This window comes from Homo sapiens, chromosome 11 (assembly GCF_000001405.40).
Source record: "Homo sapiens chromosome 11, GRCh38.p14 Primary Assembly".
Classification (NCBI taxonomy): domain Eukaryota; kingdom Metazoa; phylum Chordata; class Mammalia; order Primates; family Hominidae; genus Homo; species Homo sapiens.
The window spans coordinates 56,749,641-56,767,180 of record NC_000011.10 but is presented as its reverse complement, the minus strand read 5'-3'; the positions used below and the strand labels follow the sequence as shown (position 1 = coordinate 56,767,180).

The following is a 17,540-nucleotide window of genomic DNA, read 5'->3' as shown; positions in this document are numbered from 1 at the left end:
TATGGGCCTTTATAGAAAAGCTTGACAACCATGTTTTATGTATTTATTGTATCGCATTCCTTTAAATAATGCTAGTCATAACCTACTAAGATGATTTCATTTCCCGGTAATAGAACTCAAACTGCAGCTTGAGAAATTCTATTTCTATGTAGCTTTAGAGAGACAGTATACTAAGTATTGGATAAGAGCATGTGCCTTAGAGCCACATATATCAAATCTTGACTGTGCTACTTGATAGCTGTGTGGAGATGGGCAGATTACTTAACCTCTCTGAGCTTCCATAACCTCCTATGTAGAGAGAAGGTGATAATAATAGTAGTTAAGCAGTTAATTTTTGTAAAAGGTCTAGCACAGTGCTTTGGTACATAATGAGCACTAGTGGTTTGCTATTATTATTGGTGCTTAACATATTTCATGTTATGGTAAAATAATGAAGAGCATTTTTAATATATGAACATAACACTGGAGGAATTAGGAGAGAACTAGGGTGTCTAAATGGAGCTAGTTCAGACATTTCATTAATTTTAACATATAATGTAACAAAAAATATAAAATATAAAATGATTAGGAAGATGATTTTATTTATCTATTTTTTATTTATTTTATTTTATTATTATTTTTTTAAGACAGAGTTTCGCTCTTGTGGCCCAGGCTGGAGTGCAATGGCACAATCTTGGCTCACTGCAACCTCCACCTCCTGGGTTCAAGTGATTCTGCTGCCTCAGCCTCCCGAATAGCTGGGATTACAGGCGCCTGCCACCTGTAATTTTTTTATTTTTAGTATAGGCAGGGTTTCAGCATGTTGGCCAGACTGGTCTCGAGCTCCTGACCCCAGGTGATCTGCCCACCTTGGCCTCCCAAAGTGCTGGGATTACGGGCATGAGCCACTGCACCCGATCAGATGATTTTAATTCATATACAAATTAGAAACAAATTTTCTCCAATTTTTGAAGGAGAAATTTGAGTTTTCTTCCATAAGTACAACAGTTTTTACCTTAGGTTTTATGATTGAAATGACTATGAACAATTCTGGATGAATAATTTTTAATCACAATTTGAAAATTAAGTTTTATGGAATTCAAATTTTTAAGGGAGCTGAAACTCAACTTAAAGAAATGATATTTAAAGCTGTTCTTCACTTATCTTGACTGTGTTATTTCACAATGTATAGGCATATAAAAATATCAAGTTGTACACAATAAATATGTATGATCTTTAGTTTATATGTATTTAATGTGTCTAAAATAAAAACAATCTTCATTTTCTCTTTTTGATAAATGAAAGTTGAGATTTCTTGTTATAATGAAAATGGATTTAAAATGCAATCTAATGCTTACATATTATGTATTTAAAAATCAGATGAATGTCTAATTTGCTGAATGTTCACTAGTTGTTAGTCATGCTGCAGCCTAGACATCAGTAAAGTGACACATCAGAAGAAAGGTACAAACATATCTAATAACAATGAAGATGAATTTGGGAGTCCAGGTGGAGCTGCATTTGCCAGGAGACACTATCAGCTCCACCTATCAACCAATTTTTGCCTGGCTGTATCTCCACCGACACTCGGAACATGTACATGTCCTGCAGCGTCATGGTCCCTTATCACAATGGGGCCATCGGGGTAATTGCTTTTCTGCAACATGCACATTGTAGCAAAGCAGAGAGCAGAGCCATGGATGCTGGATTAGCCTCTATGGGGACCATCAGCTCAGCATCAGACCTTCTCTGTTGTCTTTCTGGAGTGCCTGAGGAAGCTGCCACGGCCAGAGCTTTCCACACCAGGTGGCCAGCTGCTCCATTTTAGTTCCGATATTTCTTGGGGCACCTATAATTTGTATGCTGATGGAAAGCTCTTTTTGTTCATCACTATTCCTCTAGCAGAATGCCTGCTACGGAGTAGGCACTTAGTAAGATTTGTTGAGCGAATGTTTATAAACTGGCCAGTATCTTACATGACCATATTCATCCTTATCTCAAAAGAAAATCTTTGATTTCTCTTTGTGTGGTTAAAAAGCTGACTCACATTCATAGCAGCATTGTTTGTCATAGCTAAAATGTAGAAACAATGCAAATATCCATTCAGGGATGAGTAGATAAAAAATGTAATACTATATATGTGCAATGGAATAGTGTTCAGTCTTAAGAAGAAATTCAGACACATATTCCACAACACGGATAAACTTTAAAAACACTGTACCAAGTGAAATAAACCAGACACAAAAGAAGAAATATTATATAATTCCATTTGTATGAGGTACCTAGAGTAGTCATATTCATAGAGTCAGAAAATAGAATAGTGGTTACCAGGGTCTGAAAGTAGGGGACAATGTGGAGTAATTGTTTAAAGAGCAGAGAAAGTTTCAGTTTGGGAAGATGAAAAATTCCTGGAGATTAGATGGTGGTGATGGCTGCACACAATGTCAATGTATGTAATGCCACTGAATTAAAAATGAATTGACACTTAAAATAGTTAACTTTGAATTAACACTGAATTAACTCTTGTAATGGTTAAAATGGTAAATTTTATGTTATGAATATTTTATTACACACACAAACTGGGTGAGAGTGACAGTGGGCTAAACTATAATATCAATGGACATATGTTGAACTCTTTCTATGCCCCAGGCACATTAAATGCATAATTTCACTTGGTTTCCCATTGTACATACTATTATTTAACCTTCTTTTACATTTGAGGGAACTGAAACTCAAGAATTTTAAATAACTCACAGGAGATCGAGAGCTGGTGTTCCAACCTAGAGATGGAAAGACCCATGCTCTTCAACATAATCAGGGTGTGAATTACAGCCTTTCTTACAGCTTCCAATGTTTATAAATTAATTTAATCCCTTAGGCTTGCTGGGGTTTGCTGAATTGGAATATAATTTTGTTTTTTCCAGGGCAAGGGAACAAGACCCAAGAAGACAAGATAGCAACTAACGAACCAATAATGTTAGAAACTGGCCCTCCCGACCACATCAATTTACAAAGGCATTTCCTATTGCTAGTCCCTATTTGCTGCTCAATCTGCATGGTCCCAGGAGTAACTTTCAGAGCTGGATAGCAATCATCACCCAGGAAGTTTTCTTATTTAACATTGTTTTGATTAATTAGTTCCTCTGAAACTTATTTAGTATTAAGGCAAATAGTTATTTTCAAGTTTGGTAATTGCCCATTTCTGAGCACCCAATCAGTCTTAATGATGCCCAAGGCATTTTGTTAGAGAGGGAACATGGAGCAATTGATGGCCTTGGAGCCTCAGTATCACCTTGGAAAAATCATCAGTATTTTTCTGTAATAGGTTCCCTGAAGTGTTAACTACTCTTCACTCAGACCCTAAATTCTTGTGTAGTTCTTTTGGGTTGCATTAATGTTAGAATTAAAAACCACCTTAGAGAAAATTTGGGCTGAGCTATTTCTTTGTTAAGTGAGGGAATTAGTAAGGGGAATGGAAAATCAATCTGTTCCAGGTCACAGAATTGGAAACACAGCCTGATCTAAAATTGAGTCCTCTTGATATTTTGGGCAATGACTATTTCTAGGGTATCATGGTACCTCATAAAGACAGAAGGAAAGAAGGGAGGAAGGAATAAAGAAATAAAGAAAAGAAAGAAGGCAGGCAGGAAGGAAGACAGGAAAGCAGGCAGTCAGGTAGGCAAGCTCAAATAGTGGTCTTGCTGGAAGGGGAATATTAAACATTTTATGATTAACTGATGACTCTTCCTGAAACCATTTAAAAAGAAGACAAATAAGACAATTGTGTTCTTGTGGAATTTTAGAATACTGTGATATGGCAATTGGCAATTTTTTTTCAAAGAGAGTCACTGCTTTCTGGTACTTTCTGATGATGCCAACAAAAAAGGAAAATAACGTTGACCACTCAGAAATAATAGTGTATGTTCTCGATGTTTTCTACTTTGTTCTCTTTGTTGGCAAACTTTTTAGAAAATTTTTCCTAGATCTTTCATCTACAGGTATTTGATATAAACTGAATGAATATTAGCTGTGAAGTATATTTTATGTATTTTTATGTGATTATATTTTATTTCTTACATTTGTAAACTTTGTGAACCTTACAAATATATATATTATGCAAGGGCATGTGCATGCATAGACACACACATACATATAGATCAAAGCAAATATATCATAGAAAAAGTATACTACCATCAGAGGAGGTTTGAACATGATGAAATGATTAGTTTAGTTAGATATTATAGTGCTAATGTTTAAGATAATCTGAGACATGTGGAATTTTGTTTTCTCTCTTTTACAAATCAAAAGAAATATAAGCAATTTGGTATACTTTACATATGTATAAGTTTGGAAATACTTATAGTATCTATTGTTTGACGTTATACTTTTATATTGAAAAATAATGTATGTTCATGGTAAATGTTCCAATAAGGTATGCAGATTACAAGAATACACAAGAAGAACTCAGCAACTGTCCCAGCCCAGACCTCCAGCTTCCCTCTCTAACAGTGCTCATCTTTAATAGTTCCTTGTGTTTTCATCCAGAGGATTTTCATCTGTTTTCAAGCATATATGTGAATAAATTTTTAACATGCACACCAAGGCAGATGGGCAGATATTGTGCGCATGGTTCTGAGCTTTCCTTTTTCTCAATTTAATAAATATCTTGAGAAGATCATGTATCTGTATATTAATCAGTTAATTACCTAACTGAACAAATATTTATTAAGTGCTACTTTACCAGTGCTATAAAGGAGGTTATGCAGAGACATATACACTGGTGAACAAAAACAGACATGGACTCAGCCTTCTTGAGACTTATGGCTTAGGGAGGATATAGAAAAAATTGCATTCACAAAATACTTTAAATTTTTACAACATAACAAGCGCTACAAAGTAGATATTCTTGGACATGGATACTGTAAAGAGTAGAATTCTGTAAAAGTATTTAGAGCAACAGAGTCTGGCTACTGGAAAGTGCTACCTCTTGTCCAGCACATGAATGGATGTACTAAACATGGAACATTGCTTTGACTCACTACAAGATGGCACATATTCTCTAAGAAAATGACTTGCCCTGCTAAACGAAGTTGGAATGGGTTTTTTGCTGTCCATATATGGATTCATAATTATATGAAAATGCAAATATTTATATATTATTCATAACAAAAATACTAATTTTCTTAATTATATTTATAAATACTACTCAAACCAATTTTTTGTTCTTTATTAGTTATATTACGTGGTATACAACTGCATGCATGTTACTAAAAAAAGTGAAACACAGAAATATATAGAGGAAAATGATGAAAAGCCCCTACAACCTTCTACTTCATATCCAGCTGCCTTGAAATTCAACTTTCTTCCCATGGTATATCCACCCACCCCAAACTTTTGTTAAATAGATATTATTATTTTAAAGGAGTTTTATAGTCACAGAAAAGTTGAATGGAAAGTACAGAAGATAATCCCTTTTAACAGATTTTTTCTTTACATTTGTTTGCAGCACTTATTTTAAAATCTTGCTTGAATTAACATTTTTCCATAACTAAATTATCTTCCTTAAAGGGACTACCTTTCTATTTGGTTTCGATTGTTGGCAATTACAATGTTTGTTTGTTTACTTGTTGGGTTTTTAGTATTTGTTTGATATTTAAATGAATAATCAAAACTATTTTACTAGGGGTAGGCTAGACCATCATACAGGTAAGTTCTTGAGACTCATTTTTCCACTAAGCAGTGACTGAGATGCAGGTTTCTTCCCTCTTTTGAGGCCACCATCAATAATACATGATGATCACAGTTTGGCAGAAGGAGAAGAGAGTAGATGGATGATGGTGTATGGAGTTTAATGGCCAGAAACAGAAATTGTGGACTACGCTTTTATCCATATCTCATTAGCCAGAATGTAATCACATGATCCTGGCATAACTACAAAGCATTCAGGGAAATGTAGTTTTTTTATGCTTTCAGAAAGAGCAGATGGGCTTGGTGAGTATCTTACCTGTGTCATTCAGTACAAGATAAACACCTTAAGAACAGGGACATTAAAAAAGTTAAATAAAATAAATCAGAAGATGAACCATTGTCCTATCATTCACACTTATGAGTCTCAATCACTCTGCTCTTACTTGAAATTCTTTCATATGAATAACAGTAATCCTTCATTTAGGACTTGACCTTTTTTTCCCTCTTAACATCTAAAGCTAAATGTCACAGTATATTCTTCTTTCATTCCACTTCTTAGGAATGTTTTCATACTATTTCATCTAGGTTTTCTCTTCTGCCAAGTTGAACTTATATAATGTTAAAAGACGTTAATGTTTCACTGACAACTATTTTCAGCAGTCAAGTATAGAAGGTAAGAAATATATATTCTAAAGGAGATTTCATCTAGGCTACACTTTGCTAAACAAATTCTTTTTTTTTTTATTATACTTTAAGTTTTAGGGTACATGTGCACATTGTGCAGGTTAGTTACATATGTATACATGTGCCATGCTGGTGCGCTGTACCCACTAACTCGTCATCTAGCATTAGGTATATCTCCCAATGCTATCCCTCCCCCCTCCTCCCACCCCACCACAGTCCCCAGAGTGTGATATTCCCCTTCCTGTGTCCATGTGATCTCATTGTTCAATTCCCACCTATGAGTGAGAATATGCGGTGTTTGGTTTTTTGTTCTTGCGATAGTTTACTGAGAATGATGGTTTCCAATTTCATCCATGTCCCTACAAAGGACATGAACTCATCCTTTTTTATGGCTGCATAGTATTCCATGGTGTATATGTGCCATATTTTCTTAATCCAGCCTATCATTGTTGGACATTTGGGTTGGTTCCAAGTCTTTGCTATTGTGAATAATGCCACAATAAACATACGTGTGCATGTGTCTTTATAGCAGCAAGATTTATAGCCCTTTGGGTATATATACAGTCACCACTCCTATTCAACATAATGTTGGAAGTTCTGGCCAGGGCAATTAGGCAGGAGAAGGAAATAAAGGGTATTCAATTAGGAAAAGAGGAAGTCAAATTGTCCCTGTTTGCAGACGACATGATTGTATATCTAGAAAACCCCATTGTCTCAGCCCAAAATCTCCTTAAGCTGATAAGCAACTTCAGCAAAGTCTCAGGATACAAAATCAATATACAAAATCACAAGTATTCTTATACACCAACAACAGACAAACAGAGAGCCAAATCATGAGTGAACTCCCATTCACAATTGCTTCAAAGAGAATAAAATACCTAGGAATCCAACTTACAAGGGACGTGAAGGACCTCTTCAAGGAGACCTACAAACCACTGCTCAATGAAATAAAAGAGGATACAAACCAATGGAAGAACATTCCATGCTCATGGGTAGGAAGAATCAATATCGTGAAAATGTCCATACTGCCCAAGGTAATTTACAGATTCAATGCCATCCCCATCAAGCTACCAATGACTTTCTTCACAGAATTGCAAAAAACTACTTTAAAGTTCATATAGAACCAAAAAAGAGCCCGCATCGCCAAGTCAATCCTAAGCCAAAAGAACAAAGCTGGAGGCATCACGGTACCTGACTTCAATCTATACTACAAGCCTACAGTAACCAAAACAGCATGGTACTGGTACCAAAACAGAGATATAGATCAATGGAACAGAACAGAGCCCTCAGAAATAACACCGCATATCTACAACTATCTGATCTTTGACAAACCTGAGAAAAACAAGCAATGGGGAAAGGATTCCCTGTTTAATAAATGGTTCTGGGAAAACTGGCTAGCCATATGTAGAAAGCTGAAACTGGATCCCTTCCTTACACCTTATACAAAAATCAATTCAAGATGGATTAAAGACTTAAACGTTAGACCTAAAACCATAAAAACCCTAGAAGAAAACCTAGGCATCACCATTCAGGACATAGGCATGGGCAAGGACTTCATGTCCAAAACACAAAAAGCAATGGCAACAAAAGACAAAATTGACAAATGGGATCTAATTAAACTAAAGAGCTTCTGCACAGCAAAAGAAACTACCATCACAGTGAACAGGCAACCTACAAAATGGGAGAAAATTTTTGCAACCTACTCATCTGACAAAGGGCTAATATCCAGAATCTACAATGAACTCAAACAAATTTACAAGAAAAAAACAAACAACCCCATCAACAAGTGGGCGAAGGACGTGAACAGACACTTGTCAAAAGAAGACATTTATGCAGCCAAAAAACACATGAAAAAATGCTCATCATCACTGGCCATCAGAGAAATGCAAATCAAAACCACAATGAGATACCATCTCACACCAGTTAGAATGGCAATCATTAAAAAGTCAGGAAACAACAGGTGCTGGAGAGGATGTGGAGAAATAGGAACACTTTTACACTGTTGGTGGGACTGTAAACTAGTTCAACCATTGTGGAAGTCAGTGTGGCGATTCCTCAGGGATCTAGAACTAGAAATACCATTTGACCCAGCCATCCCATTACTGGGTATATACACAAATTCTTTTGGTAAAATCCGTTGCAGAAATTGTCAACATCACTGTGGAAGGCTTTTATTTTGGGTGATGCAAATCTGAAATAGGTAGCACAATGGCTCTGAACAATGGATCCTAATGAGAATCCAACAGGCTCTCTTGAACAGATAGGGACACAATCAAAACTTCCCAGTCACATTCTCAGAGGGAATTTTGGAGTCCTTGAAGCCCATCTATGCTCTCCCCAGTGATCAATGAACCCAAATTAAGAACTTTTGCTTTAGCAGTGGTAGAGAAAATATTCAGTCTAATAAAGGAGATACAGGATTAAGTGCTAGAGTATCTCAGATTACTAAATGCATTGTGAGAAGTTCTGATTATACTGGTTCTGCCATTAACTCTCTCATGGTTTGGGGCAAGCCATTTCAGTCTCATAATCACAATATATAATTGCTTTACTGTAGTCATGATCACCTGAACTATAAGCAGCACAAGGACAAGGACTATTTCTACTTTGTTCTCTGCTATATCTCTAGTGATCAGCACATAATTGATAAATTGTCCATAGTCGAGGTTTAATGTTTATTAACCTAAATGGGACCTGAATTATTTCTCTTTGATTTTATTTCTGAGCTCATCCAAAATCAGCATCATGAAAAAATATAGTAAATTAGGTTAAGATAATTTTTCTTGTTCAGTCACTCATCAATGAAAACTGAGAAAGTCCTCCTGCAACTGCCTTCAGCTTGCAGCTGAGAGAGTAGCTGTTGGCAAAAGACTTAAGGCACAGGTATCTAGAAAGATGGTCTTTGGATACACATACGTGGTATCCTGGGGTAAATGGTTCCTGGGGTAAATGGACAAAAAGATACAGATTCTTAGAAAGGATTGAAGGGGTTTTATCAGTTGTCGTATTTCCTCTCCAGCTTTCTGCCCAGCCAGGGCTGGTATCTTTGAGGTGGTTTAATAAGGCTGATTTAACAAACGTTGGAAAAAACTGCAAACTGGGGTCAACTGCTACTACTTGAGCAAAATTGCTAGTCTGTGTGAAGAAGCACTTCTAGGATGTCACTGATAGAAACAGGAAGAAACAAATAGAAAAGAACAAGTCCTTTATCTCCTTTCCCACCCATAAAGTACATATGTATATAAGTATGCATATGTATATATGTATATACATATGTACTTTAATTTTTAATTCTTTTTGCTTTTTCTGATTTTTTAATACTTTCAATTGGCATGTATTGAAAAACCTTTATGTATGTATAAAACCTAGTTTAATCTTCACTACAACTTTATGATGAAGACAAGTTATTTCCATTTTATATGTTAAAAAACTGAGCTTTGGTGAGTTTAAATACACTTCTCTGGGTCTCACAATTAGTGAATTGTAGACATGGGATTAATACTTACACCTTCTCCATCTTTAGTTTGCCAATTAGCCATTACTAAGCTCACCTAAGATGTTACTTTGCCTCGTAATTGTATTTCTTCCAGCATTTAGCTCAGTGCCAGGCACATAGGAATTGCTCCATAAATATGAATCAATATCGTCTTTTTTTTTTTCTTCAGCAAATCCCAAAAGGATGCTCAGGATTATATGGCCTCCCAGTATTGTAATCACTGGTGAGAAAATTCCTGTAGAGTGAATAAATGACATTTTGTATTCTATGGTAATATGGGAAATTCTGAACTTCAGTTAAAATTCAAATGACATTCTCATAAAAGTAAGTGTTGTAGTTAATTAACCAAAACAGGAAGGTCAGTAAATCACAATATAGACAAAAAACAAAATGATTCTTAATATAAGTAAACCACGACTTAAATCTACTTTGTGAAATAGAATAAGATTTTCTTTCTTATAATTATATTTGAGGAAGAAAGCTAAAGTGTCCTCAAATGTCTTTTATTCAGACTTCATTTTCTCTTTCAGTGAGCAGGTAGTTAGATGCATATTTGACAGATTTTTTTTTTATAAGAGGTCAATATTGTCATGACTTTAAAGTATTTCTCTCTCTCTCTCTCTCTTTCTTTCTTTCTTTCTTTCCCTTTCTTCCTTTCTTTCCCTTCCTTCCTTCCTTCTCTTCTTTCTTTCTTTCTTTCTTTCTTTCTTTCTTTCTTTCTTTCTTTCTTTCTTTCTTTCTTTCTTTCTCTCTCTCTCTTTCTTTCTTTCTTTCTTGTCTCTCTTTCTTTTGAGACAGAATTTTGCTCTTGTCACCCAGGCTGGAGTGCAGTGGCACAATCTCGGCTCACTGCAACTTCCGCCTCTTGGGTTCAAGCGATTCTCCTGCCTCAGCCTCCCAAGTAGCTGGGAATGCAGATGCCCACCACCACATCTGGCTACTTTTTGTACTTTTAGTAGAGATGAGGTTTCACCATGCTGGCGAGGCTGGTCCCGAACTGCAGACCTCAGATGATCCACCAGCCTCGGCTTCCCAAAGTGCTGGGATTACAGGCCGGAGCCACTGCGCCCGGCCAAGTGTTTCTTTTTCTATACCAGATAGTGCATGGGATAGAAGCTCCTTAAGAGGGGTGAGAATTATCTGCTCAGTAATACAAAGCAAGGCCGAGGAGGGAAAACTTGCTTGAATTTAAGACCAGCCTGGACAATGTAGTTATACACCACCTTTATAAAGACAAACAAGCTCTAAAATCTTAGTGTTTGTCAAAAGCGCAAAATAAACTGGTGATGTAGGAAAATTTTATCTGTATTGGCGACACTTCTCCCATAGAATACAGCAGCACCCAGCATTAAAACTCTTAATCGAAATCATTAAGTGGCTCTGAAAAGAGCCTTTGGGTTTGAACACGCGATAATTTCACACAGCGGGAAAAGTGGGCATTCTTGTTTAGGAACCAAAAAATAAGTTTGCAACTTAAAATGCAATCAATTTGGAGCAACACGTCCACCAGTCTAGAGCTGGTAAGTTTGAGTATTCAAAATGAGTTGAAAGTACATTTAGTGCCTATAATAACCCACTCTAGATAGCATAATGTGATCTTTGTAGGAGTCTCGTGGAAGTTAATGTCAACTAGGATATTGTAGTTTACCAAGTACCTGAGAAAAATTTAAATTTCTTAATAGATAAGGATTAGGAGACAAACTTTATGGAAATGAAAAAAAAAATGCCATGGAATAAACCTTTAGTTATTCGGCAAGTAATATGAGGGGTTTTAGCTGTCTTTGAAAAACTTCAGATTTGTAAGACAAAGAAGAGCAGAGAATATAAATAGTAAAGGGCCTGGCAACAATGTGTCTTTGTTTTTAGGTAATGTTGGTTGGCAGTCAGCAAAAAGGCCAGGCTCAGGCAGTCTTAACTTGAAAAGGCTAACAGGAATCACCAAAACTATGTATACAACTTCTGCTGTGGGTTTTTTAAATATCAAGATTACCGATTTTAATGTTAGGGTAATATAGACTGAAACCCCTACATTCCTCCACCCTCATGGGCATTTCTCTTGGATCATAAAATGTGGGGGTAGCAGGAGGTAAGGGAAGAGTATTTTAAGAGCCTAGATCTGAGATGTACGTTCAATTTTTCCTCAAAGTATCTGGTGGTTGGACTAGTAATTTATTCATTTATTGAGAACCTATTAAATTACAGAAAATACTTAGTAAAGAGCAGTGAGAAAGATAGAAACTATCCCTGTGCTTTACCTGGATTGAAATCTAAAGTGGATATTTATACAATAAACTCACAAACTAAAGAAAGAAAAAAAAAAGAGGGGTGAGAAAACTATGTATAATATATATTATTTGATGAAGACAGCTGAAGTGTCCTCAAATGTCTTTTATTCAGACTTTATTTTCTCTTTCAGTGAAACAGGTAGTTAAATGGTTATTTGACAGATTTTTTTTTACAAGAGGTCAATATTGTCATGACTTTCAAGTATTTCTTTTTCTTTATATTTATATATATATGTTTTTTGGGAAACATACTATACATTTACATTTATAATTAATATATAGCTAAAGCAGCATCTGAAAAAGTACCAAACTGAATTGCACAGACTGCAGGTGCATTAAGCCTGGAGAGGACTGAGCAATCACTAAGAGTTCAGCTCCTTTTGGTGTGACCACTCCCAGAGTTATTTACTTAAAAAATCCTCCTGATGAAAGAAGCTGTCAGATAGTTGAAGATGAGAGAGATGATTTGTGGGAAGAAGTTTTCTAAGCATGCCTTGATTTCAGCAATGGATGCAGCCAGCTTTAAGTCTATGAATGAATGACAAGTAAGTTTAGCTTAAGAAAACTCTTTCGTGTGTGTGTGTGTGTATGTATTTATTCAATGTGTTATGCATTGCATTTAATCATTCTCTTTACAAGGAATCTTTGGAAGAATGATTTCAAAGTTAATATCGAAAATGGCAGAATGGGCCAGGTGTGGTGGCTCACGCCTGTAATCCTGGCACTTTGGGAGGGTAAGGCTGGTAGATCACTTGATGCCAGGAGTTTAGGACAAGCCTGGCCAACATAGCAAAAAACAGCCAGGCAAAAAATACTAAAAAGGCAAAAACTAGCCAGGTCTTGTGGCACATGCCTGTAGTCCCAGCTACATGGGGGGTTAAGGCATGAGAATCGCTTGAACCCAGGAAGTGGAGGTTGCAGGGAGCCAAGATCATGTCAGTGCACTCCAGCCTGGGCAACTGAGTGAGACTCTGTCTCAAAAAAAAAAAAAAAAAAAAAGAATTAAAAATGGCAGTGTTTGCTGAAATTTTGATTCATTTTGCTTGTCTTTGGATACTACTAATTGTTTATATGAACTATGAGAAATGTTGAGTCGAATTTGTGGTCTACACAGAGCAGTGAATATGACATGTTCATGTGCAATACGTTTTATCCCTGCCTGAATTTTACGTTTAGTTCTATTTTTTTTCTGTTTGCATCTTCTCGATTTATTTACCTATGTAAATATGGAAGATGGCTTAATGTGTCTTATGTGTCACACTCAGCCACCTTCAACCATTTTTATTTGTAAAATCATTGAATTATATATGAATATGTGCATACATTTATACTTATGCTTATTTTATACATTAATAACCAACCATAGATGAAAATGAGAGGCTAGAGAAGAAATGCCTCTTACAACTTTCATTCTCAATCGGAATTTTGAGAACAGGTCCAGAAATGAATTACCCAGCTTTTCTAAAAGCCACAGAAAGTGTAGTTTCTGCAGGAGAACACATGAAAATCTAGGCACTCATAGCGTGGGAGCAACTGGAGATCCTTGGGAGGTAAAGCAAATGTATCTGAGGGATGGATCGCTGAGATGAACAAATCACATAGTTTAGGGAATGCAATACGTAGGTTTAACTTCTAATTTTCAAAGTGCTTTCTCACATCTGTAATGTCATAAAGTCCTGTTGAACTAAGAAAGGCAGGTAAGAAAAAAAGAGTTCTGGAAGTGTCCAGTTTCTTCAATATTGGCAGCAGCTCACTAAATTCAGAATCCAGGTCTCCTGATTCTTGGTACTAAGCTGTTTCTAGGAACACGCTTTGTTAAAAACAACCTTAGAACTTTACCTCGATACACAAAGACAACCCAAATATTATTTAATCCAATCCTCTTTGTTTATATGAATAACTTGTACTTTGACAATAAATGTAGCATTGATATTTGTTTAAATAAAAAATAGATTCTTAAAAGCCTAGTGAAAATAAATTGTCTTTCATCATATAAGTACAGTTCCAAGAAAACGCTTTTTATTTTTTATTTTTCTAGCTCAATGTTAAGTCCATGTCTTAGCAAAATAGCCAAGACTAGGTTGTTGTGTTTTCTTTTCCTAGAAATGGAGACTTGTAAAGCCTTGGCTCTTCTAGCAGAAATTTAACAGCTCTTGCCAACCCAGAACACTGGCAATCATAATGTCACCCTTCTTTGATTGTGGTAGGTGGTAGTAGGGGCCCTCTAAGTGACATTGTGTCCCTCATGACTGGCAACAGTCCTCTCCAGCTCCCACCTCTGAGGGAAAGAAGACTCTGGGGTTGTTTCCATAACTTTCTATTTAGTTTCCTATTACTGCCGTAACAAATAACCACAAACTTCCTGGCTTCAAACAACAAAAATCTGTTTTCTACAGTTCTGTAGTTCAGAAGTTTGAAGTCAGTACCACTGGGCCAAAATCAAGGTGTCGGCAGGGTCGTGCTCTGTCCAGATGTTCTAAAGGAGAATCCATTCCTTTTCTATTTCAGCTCCTTGTGGCTGCTGGCATGACTTGGCTTGTGGTTGCATTACTCCAACCTCTTCTCCCATGATCACACTCACTACCTCCTCCTTTTCTGAGTCAAGTCTCCCTCTGCCTCCCTCTTGTAAGGATATTTGTAATTACATTTTGTGCCCACCCTGATAATATCCCCATCTCAATTCTCTTAATAACATATGGAAAGACCCTTTCCCCATGTAAAGTAATATTCCCAGGTTCCTGGAATTAGAAAATGAGTATATTTGTGGGTCATTATTCCTTCTATCATACTTTCACAAACAATTCATTTTAGGTAGTTTCATTCTTTTTAAAAAAAACCTATTAATTCTGTAGGAAATTCAACCCAAATTATGAACACAATTTTCCAATGATTAATACTTTTATTTCATTTCCAGACACATTTTAGGGTCACGAAGGTAGCTGTGGTTTGAAAATACCATTTTGTAAGCACATCTGTTCTTTTTATTCAAATTACATACGTTCTACTTTATGCAAACTTGTATTCTTAGTTTTGTGAACAAAAATTTGAATGAAATACAATTATTTACTCCAAAGAAATTATAGAATAATGTACTTCCAATGATATTATAAAATGTGGTTAGCATAATAAGATTACTTTTTTTACTGTTTATCCTTTTAGAGTTCACAGAAGATTTGGGGTTACAGCAAGTGCTCTTTTTCATCTTTCTCATCATTTATGTCATCAGCCTCTCAGGCAACATCATTCTGAATTCTCTCATCTGTGCTGATTCTTGGCCCTACACACCCATGTATTTCTTCACTGGAAACCGGTTCCTTCTGGATCTCTGGTATTCCTCTGTCCACATCCCCGATATCCTGCTGACTTGCATTTCTGATGACAAAACCATCTCCTTTCCTGGCTGCCTTGCTCAGTTCTTCTCTGCTGTGTTGGCCTAAAATGAGTGCTATATGATGGCTTCCATGGCTTATGACCGCTACATGGCAATCTCCAAGCCCCTGCTTTATTCCCGGGCCACATTCCCAGAGTTATGTGCCAGTCTTGTTGAGGCTTCACACCTTGGCGGCTTTGTAAACTCAACCATCATCACCAGTGAGACACCTACCTTGAGCTTCTGTGGCAGCAATATCATTGATGATTTCTTCTGTGATCTGCCCCCACTTGTAAAGTTGGTGTGTGATGTGAAGGAGCGCTACCAGGCTGTGCTGCATTTTATGCTTGCCTCCAATCATCACTCCCACTGCACTTATTCTTGCGTCCATCTCTTCATCATTGCAGCCATCTCGAAGATCCGTTCCATTAAGGGCCGCCTCCAGGTCTTCTCCACTTGTGGGTCTCCCCTGACGGCTCTCACCTTGTACTATGGTGCAATCTTCTTTATTTACTCCCAACCAAGAACTAGCTATGCCTTAAAAATGGATAAATTGGGGTCAGTGTTCTATACTGTGGTGATTCCAATGCTAAACCCCTTGATCTATAGCTTAAGAAATAAGGATGTCAAAGATGCCTTGAAGAAAATGTTAGATAGACTTCAGTTTCTTAAAGAAAAATATTGGTAAACAATTTTTAACAGATTATCTCCACGTCATTGTTTTCAGCTTATATTCTCAGAAATAAATAAAAGATAAAATAATTTTATAACTTGGAAACGGAAGTCTGCATTTTTGTTTTTAAGTTGGAGCTAAGGTATTGGAATGTATTTTTTAAATAAATGAGGCTGGGGCATTTGCAAAAGCTACTATGCATGGTAGCTTGGAACGGAATCTATAAAATTGTTAAGGGGTCTGAGAATATTGAAAGAAAGCAGATTAAATTTTTTTTTCATTTGACATTTCATAAGTTGCCTACGTCTATAGCATTTTATACAATAAATGAGAATAATATAACTTGTTATGTAATCATTGTTAAGATTAAATAGATTAAGTGATTTACTTGAAATAATGAGGGTCATTGGTTTGAAAAAAGAATGCAAACCCAGAACTTACAAAAAATAACAATGAAAACAAAAAACAAAGGTATTTACCTCACTTGTTAGATGAGAGAGTGAGTTAGGAAGTCACACAAAAAGTATCTACTGCCCTATAGTAGATATGGGCTGGCCTGTAGTGAGCGCTACCTCCTGGCTGCCATGGGTTATGACTGCTATGAGGCAATCTCCAAGCCCCTGCTTTAATCCCAAGCCACGTCTACAGAGTTATGTGCCAGTCTTGTTGCAGCTTCTTGTTGCGACATCTACTGTATGAATTAGCTGTTTGTCTTGGTGTGCTCCCCTCGCTGCCCTACCCCGACAGGCCCCAGTGTGTGTTGTTCCCCTCCCTGTGTCCATGGATTCTCATTGTTCAGCTCCCACTTATAAGTGAGAACATGTGGTGTTTGGTTTTCTGTCCCTGCATTAGTTTGCTGAAGATAATGGCTTCCAGCTTCATCCGTGTCCCTGCAAAGGACATGATCTCATTCCTTTTTATGGCTGCATAGTATTCCCTGGTGTATATGTATACCTAGGTGATGGGTTGATAGGTGCAGCAAACAGCCATGGCACATGTTTACCTATATAACAAACCTGCACATCCTGCACATGTAGACCAGAATTTAAAATTAAAAAACAAAAATGAAAAGAAAAAAAAAAGAGTATCTACCATAAAGTTCTCCTAGAAACAAGTTTGTTTTTTTCGTTTCTGGCTCTCATTTTTTAGCTTGCATGATGCAAAGATGACAGATTTCCTTAGCAATAGACAAAATAGAGAATGAATATCAATACTTAGAACCACCATGCACTTTCAATAAAAGAGTATTTTCCTTAACAATGAAAGAATTAAGGACAGTAGTGCAGCAGTTGTATGAGACAGGCAGAAAGGGAGATGTAGGTAGGACATAGAAACAGATCGAGAAGTAGGACCAGAGAGAGATTT

The 17,540-nt window shown here is 36.6% G+C and overlaps 1 pseudogene; it reads left to right on the top strand.

Annotated features, from left to right (window-relative positions):
* On the top strand, positions 15,197–16,184 carry OR9G2P (olfactory receptor family 9 subfamily G member 2 pseudogene; annotated as a pseudogene).